Consider the following 22,066-nt stretch of genomic DNA (forward strand, 5'->3'; position numbering starts at 1 on the left):
GTGTAGTGGCACGATCTCGGCTCACTGCCATCTTCACCTCCTGGGTTCAAGCGATTCTCCTGCCTCAACCTGTAGCTGGGACTACATGCATGTGCCACGACACATGGCTAATTTTTGTATTTTTAGTAGAGATGGGTTTTCACCATGTTGGCCAGGCTGGCCTCGAACTCCTGACCTCAGGTAGTCCACCTGCCTCGGCCTCCCAAAGTGCTGGGATTACAGGTGTGAGCCAACATGCCCAGCCAGGATTTTCTTTTTTTAAGGTTCTGTTTTAGGTATATAGCAAATTTCTGTATCCTTCATTTGTAATGGACATATTTGTTGTTTCCATATCTTGGCTATTGTAAACAACACTGCAATGAACATAAAAATGTAGCTATCTGCCTAAAATCTTGATTCCAATTCTTTTAGATACATACTCAGAAGTGAAATTGCTGAATCATATGGCAGTTCTATTTTTAATTTTTTGAGACACCTCCATACTGTTTTCTACAGCAACTGCACCATTTTACATTCCCACCTACAATGTACAGAGGTTCCAATTTCTCCACCTCCTTTCTAATACTCATTATCTTTTATTTATTTGTTGTTTGATAATAGTCATTTTAACAGATATATGATGATATCTCATTGTGGTTTTGATTTGCATTTCCCTAATGATTAGTGAGGTTGAGAATCTTTTCATATACCTGTTGACATTTGTATGTCTTTGGAGAAATGTCTATTCAGTTCCTTGCCTTTTTAAAAATTAAATTGTTCATTTTCTTGCTATTGAGTCTTAGGAGTTTCTTATATACTTTGGATAGTAATCCCTTATCAGATATATGATTTGCAAATATGTTCTTCCATTCTGTTGGTTCCCATTTTATTTTTTAATTGTTTCCTTTGCCATGCAAAAGTATTTAGTTTGATGTAATCCCACTTGTCTATTTTGGCTTTTGTTGCTTATGCTTTTGGTGTCATATTCAAGAAATCATTGCCAAGTCAATTGTCCATCATCAAGAATATTTTTCCCTATGTTTTCTTCTAAGAGTTTTATGGCTTCATGTTTTACATTTAAGTCTTAAACCTGATTTAAATTTTGTGTACCATGTAAGATAATGGTTCAATTTCATTCTTTTGCTTGTAAATAACCAGTTTTTCCAATACTGTTTATTAAAGAGACTACCCTTTCCCTATTGTACATTCTTGACATCCTTGTTAAATATTAGTTAAATTTAGGTGTGTGGAATTACTTTTGGGCTCTCTATTCTGTTCCATTGGGGTGTGTGTATGTGTGTGTGTATCTATCTATCTATCTATCTATCTATCTATCTATCTATCTATCTATCTATTTTTATGCCAGTACCATACTGTTTTAATCACAGTAGTTTTTAATATATTTTAAAATCGAGAGTGTGATATCTCCAGCTTTGTTCTTCTTGTTCAGATTGTTTTGTGTATTTGGGGTCTTTTGTGGCTCCAAATGAATTTCAAGATTTTTTCTATTTCTGTAAAGAATACCATTGGGATTTTGACAGAGATTGGATCGAATCTGAAGATTGCTTTGCATAGTATGGACGTTTTAACAATATTAATTCTTCTCATCCATAAACCTGAGATGTCTTTCCATTTATTTGTGTGTGCTTTAACTTCTTTTATCAGTGTCTTACACTTTTCAGTGAATATGTTCACCCTCTTGGTTAGATTTATTCCTAACTTTTTTTTTGATGTTACTGTAAATGGGATTGTTTTCTGAGTTTCATTTTCAGATGTGTCATTTTTAGTGTACAAAAACTGAACTGACTTTTTATGTTAATGTAGTATCTTGCAAATGTACTGAAATTATTTTTGCATCCCATCGCTTTTTTTGTAGATACTTTGGAGCTTTGTACATACAAGATCATGTCATCCCCAAACACAGATAATTATACTTCTTCCTTTCCAATTTGGATGCTTTTTCTTGCCTAATTTGGAGTTCCAAAACTTTACGGAACATAAGTGGCAAAAGTGGGCATCCTTGCCTTGTATTAGCTTTTTATTACTGCTGTAACAAATTGCCATTAATTTTGTGGCTAAAAATAGCACAAATTTATTATTGTGCAGTAGGTCAGAACTCTGACACAGGTCTTACTGGGCTAAAATCAAGGCTGTGTTCCTTTCTGGAGGCTATAAGAGAATATTAGTTGCTTGCCTTTAGCAGCTTCTAGAGGCCACCCACATTCCTTGGCTCATGGCCTCTTTCTCTGTCTTCAAAATCTACAGAAGTGGGTTGAAGCCTTTCCAAGCCACATCACTATGACATTGTCTTCTGCCTATCTTCTTCTACTCTTAAGGACTTAAGTAATTAGATGGGGCCTATCCAGATAATTCAGTATAATCTGCCTTCAAAAGGTCCTTATAAAGTCCCTTTAGCCATGTAAGAAAACATATTCATAGGGACTGAGGACTAGGACATGGGCATTTTGGAGGAGCCCATTATTCTACCTACCACAGTATCTTTGTGATTTGTGTGAATAATCTTTTTCTGGTCCATATGGATTCAGTTGTAATAATATAATATTGATAAATCATTGAACAATAAATTATGTCACTGCAGAATAAATTTGTGTGTATTTGTTTAAACATGAGTCTACTGTTCTGTAGAAATTGAGTCACTGTCTGTTTTCTTAGAACTCCATTTTAAGTATTATCCACCAGCTGCACTAACAGAACCAAAAAAGTTAATGTATTTTGGAAGGGAAAGTTCACACCATGGGGTTTTAGGCTTGGAAGGCAATGCATTTATGTGATAGCGTTAACAGACTTTCATTTAATATATTCATTAGAATGCAAGCAGGCAAATCTTGGTATTTACAGGCATAAAGGTCATAATTTTGACTACTTTTATGTTATTGTGAAAATCACTACGATATAGTAATTTGTAATTTTACTTAGGCATCACAGTTCTATGAAGCTGATAAGCAAAAGCATCACTTAAGCTTCCTAATTTTTATTTTCCCAGTCTGTCATTTGGGAATAACAATAATACCTATCCTAGAAGGCAGTCATAAGAATTAAATTTTATAATGCTTACAAGGTTGTCAGAAAATTTTAAACAGATAATAATTGTTGAATAAATGTCAGCTTTTATTTTTGTTTGCTAGTGAGTAATCCTGGATGAACTGCCTGCACGTACACTTTCATGTGGTTTTGTTCTTGTCCACTCATATCCTATGATATATTTTGTGAAGGAAACCATATATATTTCACAGCATTCACGACTTTGGGTAATTTTGAAAACTTCAGACCAGGGCATAGTGATTAGGAATATCTATTTGCAGACAGTAAAATGTTGGCCACTCAAAAGAAATCACATAAAAGGATTATAAATTGATTTACTCCAAGGCCACGTTTTTGTTTTTGCTATATGTTAGAGTCTGTGACAAATTCTTTTTAAAATGTTGAGTGATTAATTTTTGCAAAAAACTAAACACCATGTGGAAGTTATTCCATTGACTAGAGCTGGGCTTCCTATTTTGGACCAATGAGGAAGTGTGAATGTGGAGTAATGAGACTCAACCCATTACTCTATATTAGAATCACTTGCAAAGTATTGGAAACTACAATTGTATAGGGAGTTCACATGTCAGAGATTCATATTCAGCTATCTGGAAATAGAGAACAGGCATGTAGATCATTAAAAACACCCACAGGTGATTCTGATGGATAGCCTGGAATAAGAACCATGGCTTTAGTATATTTAAAGCAGAATCTTCAGGTTGTAATATTGGCATCAGTAATTTCAAATTTTCCCAGGTTATTTTATTTATTTATTTATTTATTTATTTATTTATTTATTTATTTATTTTGAGACGGAGTCTCGCTGTCTCCCAGGCTGGAGCGCAGTGGTGCAATATCAGCTCACTGCAAGCTCCGCCTCCCGGGTTCATGCCATTCTCCTGCCTCAGCCTCCAGAGTAGCTGGGACTATGGGCACCCACCACCACACCTGGCCAATTTTTTGTATTTTTTCAGTAGAGATGGGGTTTCACCATGTTAGCCAGGATGGTCTCGATCTCCTGACCTTGGAACCCGCCTGCCTCAGCCTCCCAAAGTGCTGGGATTACAGGCGTGAGCCACTGCCCCCAGCCCCCAGGTTATTTTAATGTGCAGCCAGCATTGAGAACCTTTGCTTTATATTAATGAGACTAAACAAGATCTAAAGAAGTTCTGCTAACATTTTGAGGAATGACTCAGCCTCAGGTGGCTGATGTTAAGGAAGAAATTAATGTAAATGTGAAGGCTTATGTTCAAGTGTATTTACTAAGATATCACCATCTTCTTACTTCATTCTATCTGATCTGAGCACCTTGAGTGGAATGTGGTATGGAATATGTATTTACAAGATGGTTGTCTGTTGCCTGCAATGGAAGGACAATATCCACAATGGCATGGTGGTGTTGTTGGGAGAGAAGGGATTGTGGAGATGACAAGGAGGGGTGAATGATCTCTCATAAGTGTACTTGAATTATTGAGAGATTATAGGCGATTAAAATAGAACATTAATATTACATTTTCTCCTATACTCAAATATCTTTTATGCAATCCTTCATCATTACTTGAACCTCTGCAGACTTAAATGTCCCTGTCTGACAGCTTTGAAGAGAGTAGTGGTTCTCCCAGCACGGAGTTTGAGGTCTGAGAATGGACAGACTGCCTCCTCAAGCGGGTCCCTGACCCCCGAGTAACCTAATGGGGAGGCACCCCTCAGTAGGGGCAGAATGACACCTCACATGGCCAGGTTCCCCTCTGAGACGAAGCTTCCAGAGGAACGATCAGGCAGCAACATTTGCTGTTCAGCAATATTCGCTGTTCTGCAGCCACCACTGCTGATACCCAGGCAAACAGGGTCGGGAGTGGACTTCCAGCAAACTCCAACAGACCTGCAGCTGAGGGTCCTGACTGTTAGAAGGAAGACTAACAAACAGAAAGGACATCCACACCAAAACCCCATCTGTACGTCACCATCATCAAAGACCAAAGGTAGATAAAACCACAAAGATGAGGGAGAAACAGAACAGAAAAGCTGAAAATTCTAAAAATTAGAATGCCTCTCACCCTCTAAAGGAACTCAGCTCTTCGCCAGCAATGGAACAAAGCTGGATGGAGAATAACTTTGACGAATTGAGAGAAGGCTTCAGATGATCAAACTTCTCCGAGCTAAAGGAGGAAGTTCGAACCCATCATACAGAAGCTAAAAACCTTGAAAAAAGATTAGACAAATGGCTAACTAGAATAACCAGTGTAGAGAAGTCCTTAAATGACATGATGGCACAAAAAACCATGGCACAAGAACTACGTGATGAATGCACAAGCTTCAGTAGCTGATTCCATCAACTGGAAGAAAGGGTATCAGTGATTGAAGATCAAATGAATGAAATGAAGTGAGAAGATAAGTTTAGAGAAAAAAGAGTAAAAAGAAATGAACAAAGCCTCCAAGAAATATGGGACTGTGTGAAAAGACCAAATTTACATCTGATTGGTGTACCTGAAAGTGATGGGGAGAAAGGAACCAAGTTGGAAAACACTCTGCAGAATATTATCCAGGAGAACTTCCCCAACCTAGCAAGGCAGGCCAACATTCAAATTCAGGAAATACGAGAATGCCACAAAGATACTCCTCGAGAAGAGCAACTCCAAGACACATAATTATCAGATTCACCAAAGTTGAAATGAAGGAAAAAATGTTAAGGGCAGCCAGAGAGAAAGGTCGGGTTACCCACAAAGGAAAGCCCATCAGACTAACAGCAGATGTCTCGGCAGAAACTCTATAAGCCAGAAGAGAGTGGGGGCCAATATTCAACATTATTAAAGAAAAGAATTTTCAACCCCAGAATTTCATATCCAGCCAAACTAAGCTTCATAAGTGAAGGAGAAATAAAATCCTTTACAGACAAGCAAATTCGGAGAGATTTTGTCACACCAGGCCTGCCCTACAAGAGTTCCTGAAGGAAGCACTGAACATGGAAAGGAACAGCCAGCACCAGCCACTGCAAAAACATGCCAAATTGTAAAGACCATCGATGCTAGGAAGAAACTGCATCAACTAATGAGCAAAATAACCAGTTATCATCATAATTGGCAGGATCAAATTCGCACATAACAATATTAACCTTAAATGTAAATGGGCTAAATTCTCCAGTTAAAAGACACAGACTGGCAAATTCAATAAAGAGTCAAGAACCATCAGTGTGCTGTATTCAGGAGACCCATCTCACGTGCAGAGACACACATAGGCTCAAAATAAAGGGATGGAGGAAAATCTACCAAGCAAATGGAAAAAAAAAAAAAAAAAAGCAGGAGTTGCAATCCTAGTCTCTGATAAAACAGACTTTAAACCAACAAAGATCAAAAGAGACAAAGAAGGCCATTACATAATGGTAAAGGGATCAATTCAACAAGAAGAGTTAACTGTCCTAAATATATATGCACCCAGTACAGGAGCACCCAGATACATAAAGCAAGTCCTTAGAGACTAGAAAGAGACTTAGACTCCCACACAATAATAATGGGAGACTTTAACACCCCACTGTCAACATTAGACAGATCAACAAGACAGAAAGTTAACAAGGATACCCAGGAATTGAACTCAGCTCTGCACCAAGCAGACCTAATAGACATCTACAGAACTCTCCACCCCAAATCAAGAGAATATACTCTCTTCTCAGCACCACGTCGCACTTATTCCAAACTTATTAGGTCTGCACCAAGCAGACCTAATAGACATCTACAGAACTCTCCACCCCAAATCAACAGAATATACTTTCTTCTCAGCACCACGTCGCACATAGTTGGAAGTAAAGCACTCCTCGGCAAATGTAAAAGAACAGAAATAAGAACCAACAGTCTCTCAGACTACAGTGCAATCAAACTAGAACTCAGGATTAAGAAACTCACTCAAAACCACTCAACTACATGGAAACTGAACAACCCACTCCTGAATGACTACTGGGTACATAACGAAATGAAGGCAGAAATAAAGATGCTCTTTGAAACCAATGAGAACAAAGACACAACATACCAGAATCTCTGGGACATATTTAAAGCAGTGTGTAGAGGGAAATTTATAGCACTAAATGCCCACAGGAGAAAGCAGGAAAGATCTAAAATTGACACCCTAACATCACAATTAAAAGAACTAGAGAAACAAGAGCAAACACATTCAAAAGCTAGCAGAAGGCAAGAAATAACAAGATCAGTGCAGAACTGAAGGAGATAGAGACATGAAAAACCCTTCAAAAAATCAATGAATCCAGGAGCTGGTTTTTTGAAAAGGTCAACAAAATTGAAAGACTGCTATCAAGACTAATAAAGAAGACAAGAGAGAAGAATCAAATAGATGCAATAAAAAATGATAAAGGGGATATCACCACCAATCCCACAGAAATACAAACTACCATCAGAGAATACTATAAACACCTCTACGCAAATAAACTAGAAAATCTAGAAGAAATGGATAAATTCCTGGACACGTACACCCTCCTAAGACTAAACCAGGAAGAAGTTAAATCCCTGAATAGACCAATAACAGGCTCTGAAATTGAGGCAATAATTAATAGCCTACCAACCAAAAAACGTCCAGGACCAAATGGATTCACAGCCGAATTCTACCAGAGGTACAAGGAGGAGCTGGTACCATTCCTTCTGAAAATATTCCAATCAATAGAAAAAGACGGAATCCCCCCTAACTCATTTTATAAGGCCAGCATCATCCTGATACCAAAGCCTGGCAGAGACACAACAAAAAAAAGAGTATTGTAGACCAATATCCCTGATGAACTTTGATGCAAAAATCCTCAATAAAATACTGGCAAAGCGAATCCAGCAGCACATGAAAAACCTTATTGACCATGATCAAGTGGGCTTCATCCTGCTGGTTCAACACACACAAATCAATAAATGTAATCCAGCATATAAACAGAACCAAAGACAAAAACCACATGATTATCACAATAGATGCAGAAAAGGCCTTTGACAAAATTCAACAGCCCTTCATGCTAAAAACTCTCAACAAATTAGGTATTGATGGGACATATCTCAAAATCATAAGAGCTATTTATGACAAACTCACAGCCAGTATCATACTGAATGGGCAAAAAACTGGAAGCATTCCGTTTGAAAACTGGCACAAGAAAGGGATGCCCTCTCTCACCACTCCTATTCAACATAGTGTTGGAAGTTCTGGCCAGGGCAATCAGGCAGGAGAAAGAAATAAAGGGTATTCAATTAAGAAAAGAGGAAGTCAAATTGTCCCTGTTTGCAGATGACATGATTGTATATTTAGAAAACCCCATTGTCTCAACCCAAAATCTCCTTAAGCTGATAAACAACTTCAGCAAAGTCTCAGGATACAAAATCAATGTGCAAAAATCACAAGCATTCTTATACACCAATAACAGACAAACAGAGCCAAATCATGAGTGAACTCCCATTCACAATTGCTTCAAGGAGAATAAAATACCTAGGAATCCAACTTACAAGGGATGTGAAGGACCTCTTCAAGGAGAACTACAAACCACTGCTCAACGAAATAAAAGAGGACACAAACAAATGGAAGAACATTCCATGCTCATGGATAAGAATAATCAATATCGTGAAAATGTCCATACTGCCCAAGTAATTTATAGAGTCAATGCCATCCCCATCAACCTACCAATGACTTTCTTCACAGAATTGGAAAAAACTACTTTAAAGTTCATATGGAACCAAAAAAGAGCTCACATTGCCAAGTCAGTCCTAAGCCAAAAGAACAAAGCTGGAGGCATTATGCTACCTGACTTCAAAGTATACTACAAGGCTACAGTAACCAAAACAGCATGGTACTGGTACCAAAACAGAGATATAGACCAGTGGAACAGAACAGAGCCCTCAGAAATAATACCATATATCTACAACAATCTGATCTTTGATAAACCTGAGAAAAACAAGCAATGGGGAAAGGATTCCCTATTTAATAAATGGTGCTGGGAAAACTGGCTAGCCATATGTAGAAAGCTGAAACTGGATCCCTTCCTTACACCTTATACAAAAATTAATTCAAGATGGATTAAAGACTTAAATGTTAGACCTAAAACCATAAAAACCCTAGAAGAAATCCTAGGCAATACCATTCAGGACGGAGGCATGGGCAAGGATTTCATGTCTAAAACACCAAAAGCAATGGCAACAAAAGCCAAAGTTGACAAATGGGATCTAATTAAACTAAAGAGCTTCTGCACAGCAAAAGAAACTACCATCAGAGTAAACAGGCAACCTACAGAATGGGAGAAAATTTTTGCAACCTACTCATCTGACAAAGGGCTAATATCCAGAATCCACAATGAACTCAAACAAATTTACAAGAAAAAAACAAACAACCCCATCAAAAACTGGGTGAAGGATATGAACAGACACTTCTCAGAAGAAGACATTTATGCAGCCAACAGACACATGAAAAAATGTGCCTCATCACTGGCCATCAGAGAAATGCAAATCAAAACCACAATGAGATACCATCTCACACCAGTTACAATGGCAATCATTAAAAAGTCAGGAAACAACAGGTGCTGGAGAGGATGTGGAGAAATAGGAACACTTTTACATTGTTGGTGGGGCTGTAAACTAGTTCAACCATTGTGGAAGACAGTGTGGCCACTCCTCAAGGATCTAGAACTAGAAATACCATTTGATCCAGCCATCCCATTACTGGGTATATACCCAAAGGATTATAAATCATGCTGCTATAAAGACACATGCTATAAAGACACATATGTTTATTGTGGTACTATTCAGAATATCAAACACTTGGAACCAACCCAAATGTCCATCAATGATAGACTGGATTGAGAAAATGTGGCACATATACACCATGGAATATTATGCAGCCATAAAAAACGATAAGTTCATGTCCTTTGTTGAGACATGGATGAAGCTGGAAACCATCATACTCAGCAAACTATCACAAGGACAAAAAACCAAACACCGCATGTTCTCACTCATAGGTGGGAATTGAATAATGAGAACACTCGGACACAGGAAGGGGAACATCACACACCGGGGCCTGTCATGGGGTGCGGAGAAGAAGGAGGGATAGCATTAGGAGATATACCTAATGTAAATGAAGAGTTAATGGGTGTAGCACACCAACACGGCACATGTATACATATGTAACAAACTTGCACGTTGTGCACATGTACCCTAGAACTTAAAGTATAATAAAAGAGAAGAATAAAGTAGAAAACTATATAAAAAAAAAAAGTCAGCAGATTTGCTAATCCTCTCTGCCTGGGGATTTCCTAAATTTTTGGCTCCTGCATTTGCTCTCATGAATAGTAGAAGAGAAAGGACTAACATTTGTGAGGAAAAATAAGCATTGAGAGGAAAAGGAGCACTTGATGAGAGATGGATCCAAATCATTACCATATACATAAGTAAGTACCATTAGTTATGTAAGCATCATTTATACTGGTCAAATATTCTTATCATTTCTTTCCTCCTGTCTTAGCCCTCTTCTGATAATCTGGTAAAAGCTATGAACCTGTCCTAGAAATGCACGTGTTCACATTTACAGAAAGGTTTGCATATATATATTTTTAAAGTCCTCATTGAATTATCAATAGACAACTCAGTATTACACAAACCCAAATCATTGCCTACTTCTCATTCTTACTCCACTATTAGCTGTAGCTGTGCAACATATCAAGAGTCAAGAAAATTTTGATGTTACATTTTGTGAGAGCTAAGTATTAGGGATAAGTGTGAACATTAGATTAAAAAACTATTTTCATGCTTCATTTGAATCAATTATTACTTGAGAAGTTTAAGAAATGCCCAAGAATTCTGCCATTTTGGTATAGGCAGAGTGATCAAATCTTAGAACAAGAAGAGAAAACAGTAAAGTGTGGAGAGCAGAAAGATATGGGAATTATTGAAGAATGGGATGAAGGATTAGTAAATGTAATTCTGTTATTGTTCAAAACTCTGAGATTCTCTGATAATTTTAATTGGTCTTGGAGGTTCCAGAAACTTAAGTAACAATCAGAAGAGCAAAGAGGAATTAAAGTTTTCCTTCCCAAACATCTTATGTTTCTTCAGATCCTTTTGTAAAATGCAAGAGCAATAAGGAGTGGTCAGATTATTGATTCCATGTGTTGAAAATACTGGGCCTGAAATCAGTACACAAGTAAAGAAAATGCTAGAAGGGGAAATAGGAAGCTCTAGATATTGAAAAGGGGTTCTTAAAATGTAAGTAAGGCAGCCTATAGTAGAGAAAGTAATGGGTTTCTTAATTATAATTTTTATTTTATTTACTTATTTATATATTTTGTTGTTTAGAGACAGAGTCTGGCTCTGTCACCCAGGCTGGAGTGCAGTGTTGTGATCACAGCTCACTGCAGCCTCAACCTTTTGGTCTCAAGCAATCCTTCCACCTCAGCCCCTCAGGTAGCTAAGACTGCAGGTGTGTGTCACCATGCCCAGTTAATTTTGATTTTGATTTTTTTATTTTTTGAAGAGATAGAGTCTTGCTATGTTCCCCAGGTTGGTCTTGAATTCATGGGCTCAAGTGCTCCTCATACCTTGGCCTCCCAAAGTGCTGGGATTACAGGGGTGAGCCACAGCACCCAGCCCCAGTTAGAATTATCTTTCTAAGACTCAGTAATAATCCACCCTTCAGGAAGCAAGGGTCATACACTTTTCCACAGGAATTCCTTGGCTTACTCATTTGGGTGGTGTTGAAGTGGTACTCCTCACCTGTGCCCCCACAAAAGCATTCTATTTCTTCTTATATGTGGCACACAAACTATACTGTCCTAACAACAAATACATGTCTTCCTCCCCCACTACTTCTTTGTATTCCCTCCTACTGTCTGTCTACAATAGTTTTTAACACACAATAAATCCTAAATAAATGTGTCTGTTGAATAAATTTGAATTGATCAGAATTTGACTTTAATGACAAAACATGCTTAATTCTTACAGGCATTTCTCAAAATGATGTTCAGAATGCACAAAATAATTAAACTCTTAAGCTATGAAATACCAATTTTAAATAAAAACGTGGGAGAAATATCCCACGGATGTCCTTTTGGATGCTTTTTCACAGTCTCCTAAAAATAAAATTTGGAACTTCTTTTGCGCAGTTACTCTTTCAACATAGATAAGCAGAGATCTGGATGGGGTTTTTGCAGAAGTAAAAATTTTTTTATCTCTTATATTTATGATTTCTTCTGAGACTGACTATGTGAAATGATGACATTTGTGCAGTTTATTAGCAGTCAGCTACAAATGTATTGGAGTAGTGTTATGTAACACTAAATAGTTTGAATCCCTAAAGGGACAGCAAATATTTTTTTCGGCTGACATGTCTTATTAGTCAAAACCCTTAGGAAATCCTCTAAATAACCCATTCACTAAAAACCATGGCTTAAAAATCCTAGTTTAATTGTTTCCAAAGAAGTACTGAAAGTTTTAACATATAAAATACAAAGTAACCTAAGTGGAAATCAATCATCATGACATTTGCTAAAGTCCCTATTAATTAAGAGAAGACTGAATAATAATATTTCTTTTTCAGGATCTGTTAATATAATTTTGGAGTTTGACACACAAGCAAAAATACATACACTAAGAGGAAAAAGAAATGTGGAAGATACTGTAGGTTGATTTGTTCAACCCTACATCCCCAACCTTTTTTTGTCTTCTTTAATCTCTTCTATAGAGGCTAAATAAACATCTTTTGCAGCCAGGAGTGCCACATGACTCAATGTTGGCCAATGAGATGTGAGCCAAACCCTACAGCGAACTTTCTCTAGCACCATCATCCTTCTTTCTTTAAACCCTGAATTTCCCGAAGAAGTATTTGTCTTATAATAGTGAATAAAAGGCCAAGAGAATCACACAGATAGCAGCCTGTTTATTTTGAGCAACTACATTATTGTCTACAGTCAATTACCACTAGACTTCTTGTCTCAATAGTATTTCCTTATTGCAAAGCCACTGCAAATTGTGTTCTCTGTTTCTTAAAGGGTAACTCACTCTTAACTGATGCATCTATTTCAATAGTGCAACCTACATTGGTAGAGAATTATGGTTACAATATAATGGATAATGTTCTGTTTTTAAAATGTGTATTTTAAATTATCTTCTAAAAGGCTAGTTTTTTAGTATTATCAGTTGACACACTTTGTTTTGCTGTCCTCACTCAGGTTTCCATTATGCCTTGATATTTACTCCTCCTAAGAGCTATGTAGATGTTCATTTGATACTGCAGTCTGAACCACGTCTTCCTTTAAGTGAGCTACTATGCCTTAAGGCATCCTGCATCTCTGCCTTGCCTCTGATGCTTCTTCTCAGCCTTGCTTGGGTCTTCTCCTTGAGATTCTCCAACAACAAAGGCATCCAAATGCATTGTTCATATAAATGTGAACTGAAAAGACTGTGTGCCATGAACAGTTTAAGTTTATTCCCTAAGTTCATGAATTATGACTGAACTCTGACAAAAGATTTCCTTATCAGTAATATTACACCATATGAAATCAATTTTTTATCAATGAAAATCATGAAATATAAATAGAATTTTCTCCCATATATTTACATACTATAATGCATTTTTTTTTAATGTGAAGATTAGTTCATAGGTTAGAAACCAATGTTTGACAACTCTGTTATCTTAAGCAACATTGAGAATATTTGCTCCTTGGTTGTAGAGGAAGAGATGCTATTTTCTCTGGAATTAGAATCCTTTTATATTAAGTAAATAATAACAACAGTTCACTTTAATTATATGTTTACTTCATAAAGTAAGCATATGATCTCATTCAATATTTAAAAATATTGTGAAGTAGATTCTCTTTTCTAGGCCCTAGTGCTTACATAAAATAAAAATTTAGCAAATGTCTGTTGAATGGATAAATGAATGCATGAATCTTTGAGCTCATTTTTTTTCAACTATGAATTGGAAGAAATACTAAGTTGAACAAGACAGACACGTTTTCTGCCTTCATATATATTTGAGTTGATGAGTGAGTAAATAAACATGAAAATAAAAATAATTATAAGTTTTATTAAGTGCTATGAAGGAAACAAAGAGAGCATGTGCTACGGATGAGGGGTAGGTAACAACATGTTCTTAAATAAGGCAATTAGCTGAGGACTTTAGTCACAGAGTCAGCTGATCATTGGTGATTTCAAATCATACTCACGTCTTCTGCCTCCTGAGCTGGTTCTGTGTCAACTACTTTATTCTGATACACAGGCAAAATTGTGTACTGCTCCTTAAAAATAAGTTAGGCCGTTTGAGAAATAACATCAATTTTTTTCAGGTCTCAGATTGTTCTTGAAGTTGGACAAATATTCAGGAGTAATGAGAGACTAACTTTCGTCACCCTTCCACAATTTAGGAGATACTTAGAGTTACTTCAGCGTTTGGTATTGTAAAATGACATCCATTGGTCTTAAAGTAGGAGAGTTTTAAAACAGTTTTCTAAGAAGCACTGAAAAATGGCTTCTTAAAAAGCACTGAGTTTCGTTTAAGCCTTGTGGCACCAGAGTTCCTATTAGTTATATAGCAATAACATAATTGGATATTTTGTGTCATTGCCTCTATTTTTTAAACATTAAATTTTATTAAGCATTTTTCATAAACAGTAATATTTTCAGGTGAGAATACAAAATAAATTGTTCATTTTAAAAGTTAATTCTGTAACCAGGTCTATGGTTGAACTGTAAAGTTAGAAATTAATTTACACACTCAGGATTGCTGTTTGCAAAGACCATTTGTTTTTTCCAATAGAGTAAGGAAAGCAGCTGAGCAAAATGGAATTCCAGTTTTTCTAAAGGGCTGTTATAACGACAGGAGTGTGGTACAATTATGTCTATTTACTTGTCCTGACACTGGGTTATCTCCCTCGTGACCCTGCAGAGCCTGAGGTAATGCATTCTGCATGGTAGTTTGGGTCTGAGAAAGTTCTAAGAACTTAGTGACAATTATGCATTGTGCTTCATTATTTATCACACTGGGGTAACGTGAATCTCTCTGATGTCCACTACAGGCTGATCCGAGGCCCCTGTTCACAAGGAAAGTCATGAGGAACCCTTATCCTACTTTCAAAACATTACCCGCCTGCACCATTTTCATTTTATTCAGTAGGGATAATGTGCTTATGACTGGGAACAGCCATTCTGTATTCTAGCTTGACTCTCCTTTAAACTAGTAGTTGTGCTGTACATGACATACCTTGTGTTACTAGAAATTAGGATATTTGCTCTGGAAAATTTTAACAACTTCAAAGTGTAAATGAGCAGCCAGAAATGTTTCTACGAGGTCAGCTGCATTCCACCAACACCAGAAGCCTGCATGTATCTGATTTTGTAAATAAACAAGAGACATGATGTTTGAAAAAACTTGGTTTTCCTTGACCTGTGCAAAATTGGTTGGAATGTTTCTTTAACATTCCCACTTGCCTTTCAAGCTGCAGATTAATGTAAAATTCCAAGATTTTTTAGGAACCAGTGTCTGCATTTTCTACTTGATGAAGAAGCTTTGGAAAGAACAATTGCTTCATTTAAAACTTTTCTAAAATCAATACTGAACAAAATTGTATTTATACCCATACTTATTCAGCTTGGGTATTTTCAACTTAGAGAGCTTAAATTCTAGACCCAGTATAACATAAGAAATGTCAAATGTAAGAAACAAAGATTCTAGAATATTCCAGACCCCTGGTGGTATTTTCTGAGTCAAAGGGAAGCTATAGAACGTGTAGCAGGACGAGCCACAGACAAAACTCCTCAGACACCGAGTTAAAGAAGGAAGAGGTTTATTCGGCTGGGAGAATCGGCAAGACTCCTGTCTCAAGAGCCAAGCTCTCTGAGTGAGCAATTCCTGTCCCTTTTTAGGATAGTTTGTAACTGTGTGATTTGGTTGAGCATGTGAATGGGGGTCTGGTATCCTTATGAGCCGTCTTGTGCATAAGTAGCAGGCCTATAATATTGTATAATTCTCTCAGGGGGCTATTTATTATCTTTTTTATTATTATTATTATTTTGGCTAACACTTTACTTGTGTTGTTTATGAGCCCTCACCAGTCTTCAGTTCTTAATTTTATTTTAAAAACCGTGGTCATGGGAGGCTCAGATGGGTCATAACACACATCAGATTGGTCATTTCCTGGGCTACATACCTTATATAGAATAAAATTATACAAACAAGTTTTTTTTAGGGTTCCAGTACACTTATAATAACTATAAAATAATAAGGCCTTAGCAACTTTTTGTCCTACCTCAGTGACTTGATGTATACACTGGGAACAGCCCTCAGTCTGAGGAAGGTCAGTTGAAGTCCTTACTGCACAAGTCCAAATTTTAAGGAAAATGAGTCTTGTGATGAGTTTCTTCATGCTTTGGCTGTGTGTGGACCAGTCAGCTTCCAAGTGTGACTGGAGCAGGGCTTGTTGTCTTCTTCAGAGTCACTTTGCAGGGGCTGACAAAGCTGCTCCCATCCACGTATAACTCTCAGTCTACTGATGTTTAAGGTTGGTCTCAGAGGTTGGGCCCACTAGAATAAACTGAGTCCAATACCTCTACACAGTTATGTTTAACTGGACTCTCTGATACCAGAAGCAAGGTGGCGGGGTTTAGGGTGTTGTAAACTTCAATGGTGATGTTGGGATTTTCACAGAGCAAGCTTTGGTTATCTAGTTAGTCTAGCATTTGTTAACTAATGATGTCCTTCGGTATTTATTAAAGTCACCACAGCATGGGAGGACTTTATGTTTAGGTTTTGCCCAAGAGTTACTTTATCTGCTTCTTGTGCTAACAGGGCCATTGCTGCCAGGGCCCTTAGACATGGGGGCCAGCCTTTGGAAACTCCATCTAGTTGTTTTGAGAGATAGGCCACTGGCCTTGGCCAAGGCCCCACAGACTGGATTAAAACTCCAACTGCCATTTTTTTTTTCTTTCTGACACATAGGGTGTAAAGGGTTTTGTCAGGTCAGGTAGCTCCAGGGCTGGGGCCAACATGAGTTTTTTTTTTTTTTTTTTAACTCATGGAAAGCTTGCTGCTGTTGATTGTAATAGGTGTAGTTTATCTAATCTACATTTTTATTAACTGTCACCCACTAAAATATTGACTTAAATCCTATAGCTATTTGATTTCAAGCTTTAAATTGATCTGGTATTCCTTGCAGGACTCCAATTGCATCTAAATAGATGTGAGAGTTGAAAGATCCATAGGGACTTCTCTCACTTTACGATGTCTTATTTTTTCTCCTTCTTGTTGATGAAATGCCCCAGTGAAAGGGATAGCCAAATGGACTAAAGCCCAAGTGTCACTCTAGTTATTCGGCAGAGTGCCCAGTAAAGATCCACCACAATACCACCACACATCTGCTTGGGGATGAACAAGGGCTGACTGATTGATAAGCTCTTGAAAATTCTTAAGCTCATCGCATCCCTTCAGGTCTCCAAGGGATGCTAAGTTGCCTCCCTGTCGTGAGAGACATGAAGTGAACTTAATGTTGGGAAGCGGAAGCTGGATGGCCCTTGGGGGCTGACCCACAGGGTGCCAGACTTTGGGATATAGCAGAGAGAGCTTGGCATGACTTATTACTTCAGGCTGTAGAATACTGGAAAAGAGCTACCATGCAGCCTACGCCTGGTCAACTGGAGGACCACCTTAATAGAAAGGGGAAAATCTGGGCCTCTGGCCTGCCATGTGCACAAGCATAACAATTGCTTTTGTTTAACGTGCAGGCGGAATATTTGATCCATTTTAACCAGGCATTTGCATCTTGGTATCCTGTCTTAATTGCTAAAGTTTGTTTTAAGTCTTTAACTTCTATGATCCTCTAGTAAAATGAATGTATGATTTTAGGAAATTATAAAAACCAGTCGGGGCAGTTCATCCTTGCTCTTTAGTGGTCCACAGAATGTTGGACCAACTATGGCATAAAAGCTCTATGTTGGGGGGCAAGACTCCTGGTTGGCACTGGGGTCTTTATCGAAATCTCCCCCGATTAAACGGTCCTAGTTTACCAATGCCCAGTCTAAAGAGAGTCAAGAGGGATAGAAGTACTTTTCTGAAGTAGAAAGCTGTCTTTGACTTGGCAAGTCTCCACAGGGTATAACAAGGCAAGCATTAAATGCAACAGTTTGAGGTGAAATTGACTTGGTTATGTTAATAACTAGATGGTCCGCAATAGAATGAGGAAAGAAGAAAGAGTAATAGAATAGATGAAAAGAGTTAAATTTTTCTTAGCTTTAGCTTGGTAGGGTTTTCCCCTGGGACTATGGCCCACGACTCTGGAGGGGGTGGCGCTTTCTTGACTCAGGTGTGATGAGTCCATCCTTTTTTGCTGTATGAACAGCAGCCTTGGTGGTTAGCAGCACAAAGTAGGGTCCTTCCCAGGCTGGCTCGAGTTTTTCTTCTTTCCACCTTTTGATGAGAACGTGATCTTCAGGCTGGTGCTGGTTTACTGGAAATTCTAGGGGTGGTATGCATACTAAAAGACTTTTAAGTGGAAGATAAGCCAAGTATATAATTTTTAAGAAATTGACCATTTGTTTTAAATGTGGGGACCTTGGCAGTGGACTTTATAGTCCTTAGTGCCTTGTTACTGAGAAATTTCCTTTAGCACCTATTTTTATTAGTTTTTAAATCAAAGAAAGCCAAATACCATTACATTTAACAATGCTTCCTGTATGATTTTTATACCAGATAAGTTAAATTTTACCTTTATATTAATGTGTTATTAATGTTAAACCTAATTTTAATAAAACCTTGCAGACATATTTATCTAATTTTTAATATTTGACTATAAGGTAAGATTTTATAGACTCTTTTTAACATTTTATAATTTTTGCTAAAGAGCAGGTTGGTACTTCAAGAAAAACCTGTTATGCTTTTATTTTAATGTCCAGTTTACAGAAAAACTGGATGATACCTCTTTAACTTTAGCCGATGTTTACACACAGATTTTTTTTTTCAATTAACATTTTAAAACTTGATTAAACCTTTAAAACAAAACGCACATATTTTTAACCTTTTAATGTAGGTAAAACTTTACATTCTTATGCCTCCTTATAATTCTTCTATTAAAAGTATATTTTACTTTTTTTATATACCTTGCACATAAACTGTTTCTTTAATAGTTTTACATTTAGGAGGCCTAATTACTTTTAAACTAGACAACATTTCTTGCATGAATTTCCTTTTATAACCTTTTTTTTCATGACTTTCGCAGGCAGTTCTTCAACATGCTTCAACTTTCTGACTTATTACAAATATTTCTTTCTTTAAACAACCAGCTAATTTATTTCAGGACAAGAATTTACCATATAATACTCTTTTTACATAAATTCTGCCCCCCCTTTTTTCCTTTTTTTTTTTTTGAAGATGATAACCATTTTTTTCCAAAGCAAACTTCTTTTGTGTCTGTGGACTAGACTGTCTAAGGCCGCAAGAATAGAAGTTAGTATAAAACATGTTACACTGTTAACTTTTAGCAAACTTTACTTTTGTTGAAAACCTTGCAAGTTTGGGATTTTAATTATCTTTTGCTATTAATAAGACCTTGTTTTGTCCAAATTAACTTAGAATTGGTATAGATGGCTTTTTTTTTCCTAACAGAATAGCCCCTTGCTTTAATATTTTTGAGTTAGTAAGCTACTTTTTTGCTTTTTTGATTTAGGATATTTCTGAACTGAACTAGTGAGGTGTGCTCACAATGAGGTTTCCTCTAAAAGTTATTATTATTATTTTACTTTTTTTCTGTTAGCAAAGTAGTTGCTGCTACAGATTGAATGCATTTGGGCCATCCACGGGCTACTGGGTTAAGGATTTTTGATAGGAAGGCCTCAGTGCTTTTGGGATACGCCCTTGTTTACACTGACAACAAAGTAGTATTGGAGTGTTACAGGATTATGGAGAATACCTTCAATTATCAATTATAGGTTTCAAATTTACCTTGGCTTTTAAAGGAATAGGGTACACTTTTTTTCTTAACTACTTGTATATCTCTGTCTTTCTCTTCTCTGTCTCTCTCTCTCCTCTCTGCCTCTCTCTCTCTCTCTCTCTGCCTCTGCCAGCCACTTATGCTGCAATTCTCTCAACCACTGTGAAGGGATCTAAAACCAGCAGTAACCAAGCATCTATGTACGGGAACTGGTCTGGGTGCCCTGGCTTTACAGGTTACCTTGTGCCATACCTTTGAAACAAGGGACCTTTCCAGGCTTCCTTCTGATGGCCAACCTACCTCTAATGCTGGCCAGTCTATTTTACATAAAGTTCTAAGTTTTCCTGGTGTCATAGTCTCCCTTAAATCCCTTTTTGAAATTTTTCAACATAGTTCCTAGTAGGGTGGGCTTATTTGTGCCTGACCCATGCTTCTTTGAGGCAAAACACCACGCTCACACCACATGCACACCACAAAACAAAGAACCGGTAAAAAGGGCACACACACACTTTTACAGTTTACACCAAACAAAAATCAAAACCAAAATCAGAGTATCCAGAAATTCAAGCCAAGTCAAAGACAAAACCAAAGTATCAAGCAATCCAAGTCAAATCAAAAACAGAAACCAAAGTGCCGGTACAGGCACACCATCGGTGATCAGGCCATGCTTCCACTCAAATGGAGTAGGCAAGTTCCCAAGACCAGTCCTGTCAAGCAATTCAAACCAAGTCAAAACCAAAACCAAAACCAAAGTGCCAATAAAGGCACACCGTGGGTGAGCAAGCCACGCTTCTACTCAAATGGAGTGGGCAAGTTCCAAAGACTAGTCTTACCAAGTTTCAGATGTCCAGACTCCAAGTACCAGTTCCTTCCCAGTGTTCAGCCACTGTGTTGATCCTCCACGGGGGCCTGCCACACACTGCTCTGGCAAGGCGTCCCACCGGGGCAAATGCCTACCTGGGAGTGCTCTCAGGATCCACGTTGCTCGGGCTGGCCAGAGTCCCCCACCGGAATGTTCCACAGGGCAGGCTTAAGTCACCTAAGGAGCTGCCTCGACCATCCACCAATCACCTCACTTCCCAGTCAGGGAACCAGGAAATGTAGCAGGACAAGCTGCAGACAAAATTCCTCGGATACCGAATTAAAGAAAGAAGAGGTTTATTCGGCCAGAAGCATCGGCAAGACTCCTGTCTCAAGAGCTGAGCTCTCTGAGTGAGCAATTCCTATCCCTTTTAAGGGCTCACAGCTCTAAGGGGGTCTGCGTGAAAGGGTTGTGATTGATTGAGCAAGCAGCAGGTACATAACTGGGGGCTGCATGCACTGGTAATCAGATCAGAACAGAACAGGACAGGAATTTTCACAGTGCTTTTCCATACAATGTCTGGAATCTATAGATAACATAACCGGTTAGGTCAGGGGTCGATCTTTAACTACCAGACCCAGGGTGTGGCACCAGACTGTCTGCCAGTGGATTTCATTTCTGCCTTTTAGTTTTTACTTATTCTTTCTTCAGAGGCAGAAATTGGGCATAAGACAATATGAGGGGTGGTATCCTCCCTTAAATGGACTCCAATAAATGTAAGTCAGCTGTGGGTGTATGGATTGCTCTCCATTAGCAGGGAGCAGCTTAGGTTGATGCAGCAGAAAGGTGGCAGAGTCTTAGGTTTGAGTTAGGCAAGATAGATGAGGAAAAGGCAGACAGTGAACTGCTAAGATGGAATGTTCGTGCCTTATCCGAGAAATGTCCAAGTCTGCATAACCAGGAGAGACAGAGGATGTTCTGAGATGTCTCCCTGCACTCTTGCTATGTCTATAGTCAATTCTCCACACCCTAGCCAGCAAGACCAAATGCAAGTCTAAGTCAATTCAAGTCATTCCCCTGCTTAAGACTTTCCAATGTCTCCCAGTAGCTGAATAAAGTTCATATATATTTCCAAATATAATTTGGAAGATAAACACCAAATACATTTCTAACTCATTGCCATTGCCTACAAGGCCCTAAATGATCCATTCTGGTAAGCTCTCCAACTTCCTTTCTTACCCTGCCCCCACTCATGTCCACCTATACCAGCCTCTTTGCAGATCCTGAAACATGCCATGCTGAACCTTTTCTCA

At 38.0% G+C, this 22,066-nt stretch overlaps 1 protein-coding gene across 1 annotated transcript in view, besides 4 other annotated features; it reads right to left on the reverse strand.

Annotated features, from left to right (window-relative positions):
- Positions 1-20,965, reverse strand: part of EDNRB (endothelin receptor type B) — an 80,041-nt gene extending 59,076 nt beyond the window's left edge. Inside the window, exon 1 of the mRNA NM_000115.5 lies at positions 20,785-20,965. The gene's annotated coding sequence lies outside the window, so the exon portion shown is untranslated. The remainder of the gene's footprint in view (positions 1-20,784) is intronic.
- Positions 21,051-21,512: an enhancer, noted in NCBI's record as "LTR-EBR". NCBI's record gives its function as "increases activity of native promoter in a reporter construct" and the evidence as "EXISTENCE:reporter gene assay evidence [ECO:0000049][PMID:11054415]".
- Positions 21,051-21,512: a promoter, noted in NCBI's record as "LTR-EBR". NCBI's record gives its function as "promoter in placental JEG-3 cells" and the evidence as "EXISTENCE:reporter gene assay evidence [ECO:0000049][PMID:11054415]".
- Positions 21,051-21,512: a mobile genetic element, named in NCBI's record as "EDNRB upstream promoter region".
- Positions 21,391-21,402: a transcriptional cis regulatory region, noted in NCBI's record as "LPE (LTR placental enhancer 1)". NCBI's record gives its function as "important for promoter activity" and the evidence as "EXISTENCE:reporter gene assay evidence [ECO:0000049][PMID:12805445]".

Source organism: Homo sapiens, chromosome 13 (genome assembly GCF_000001405.40).
Source record: "Homo sapiens chromosome 13, GRCh38.p14 Primary Assembly".
Lineage (NCBI taxonomy): Eukaryota > Metazoa > Chordata > Mammalia > Primates > Hominidae > Homo > Homo sapiens.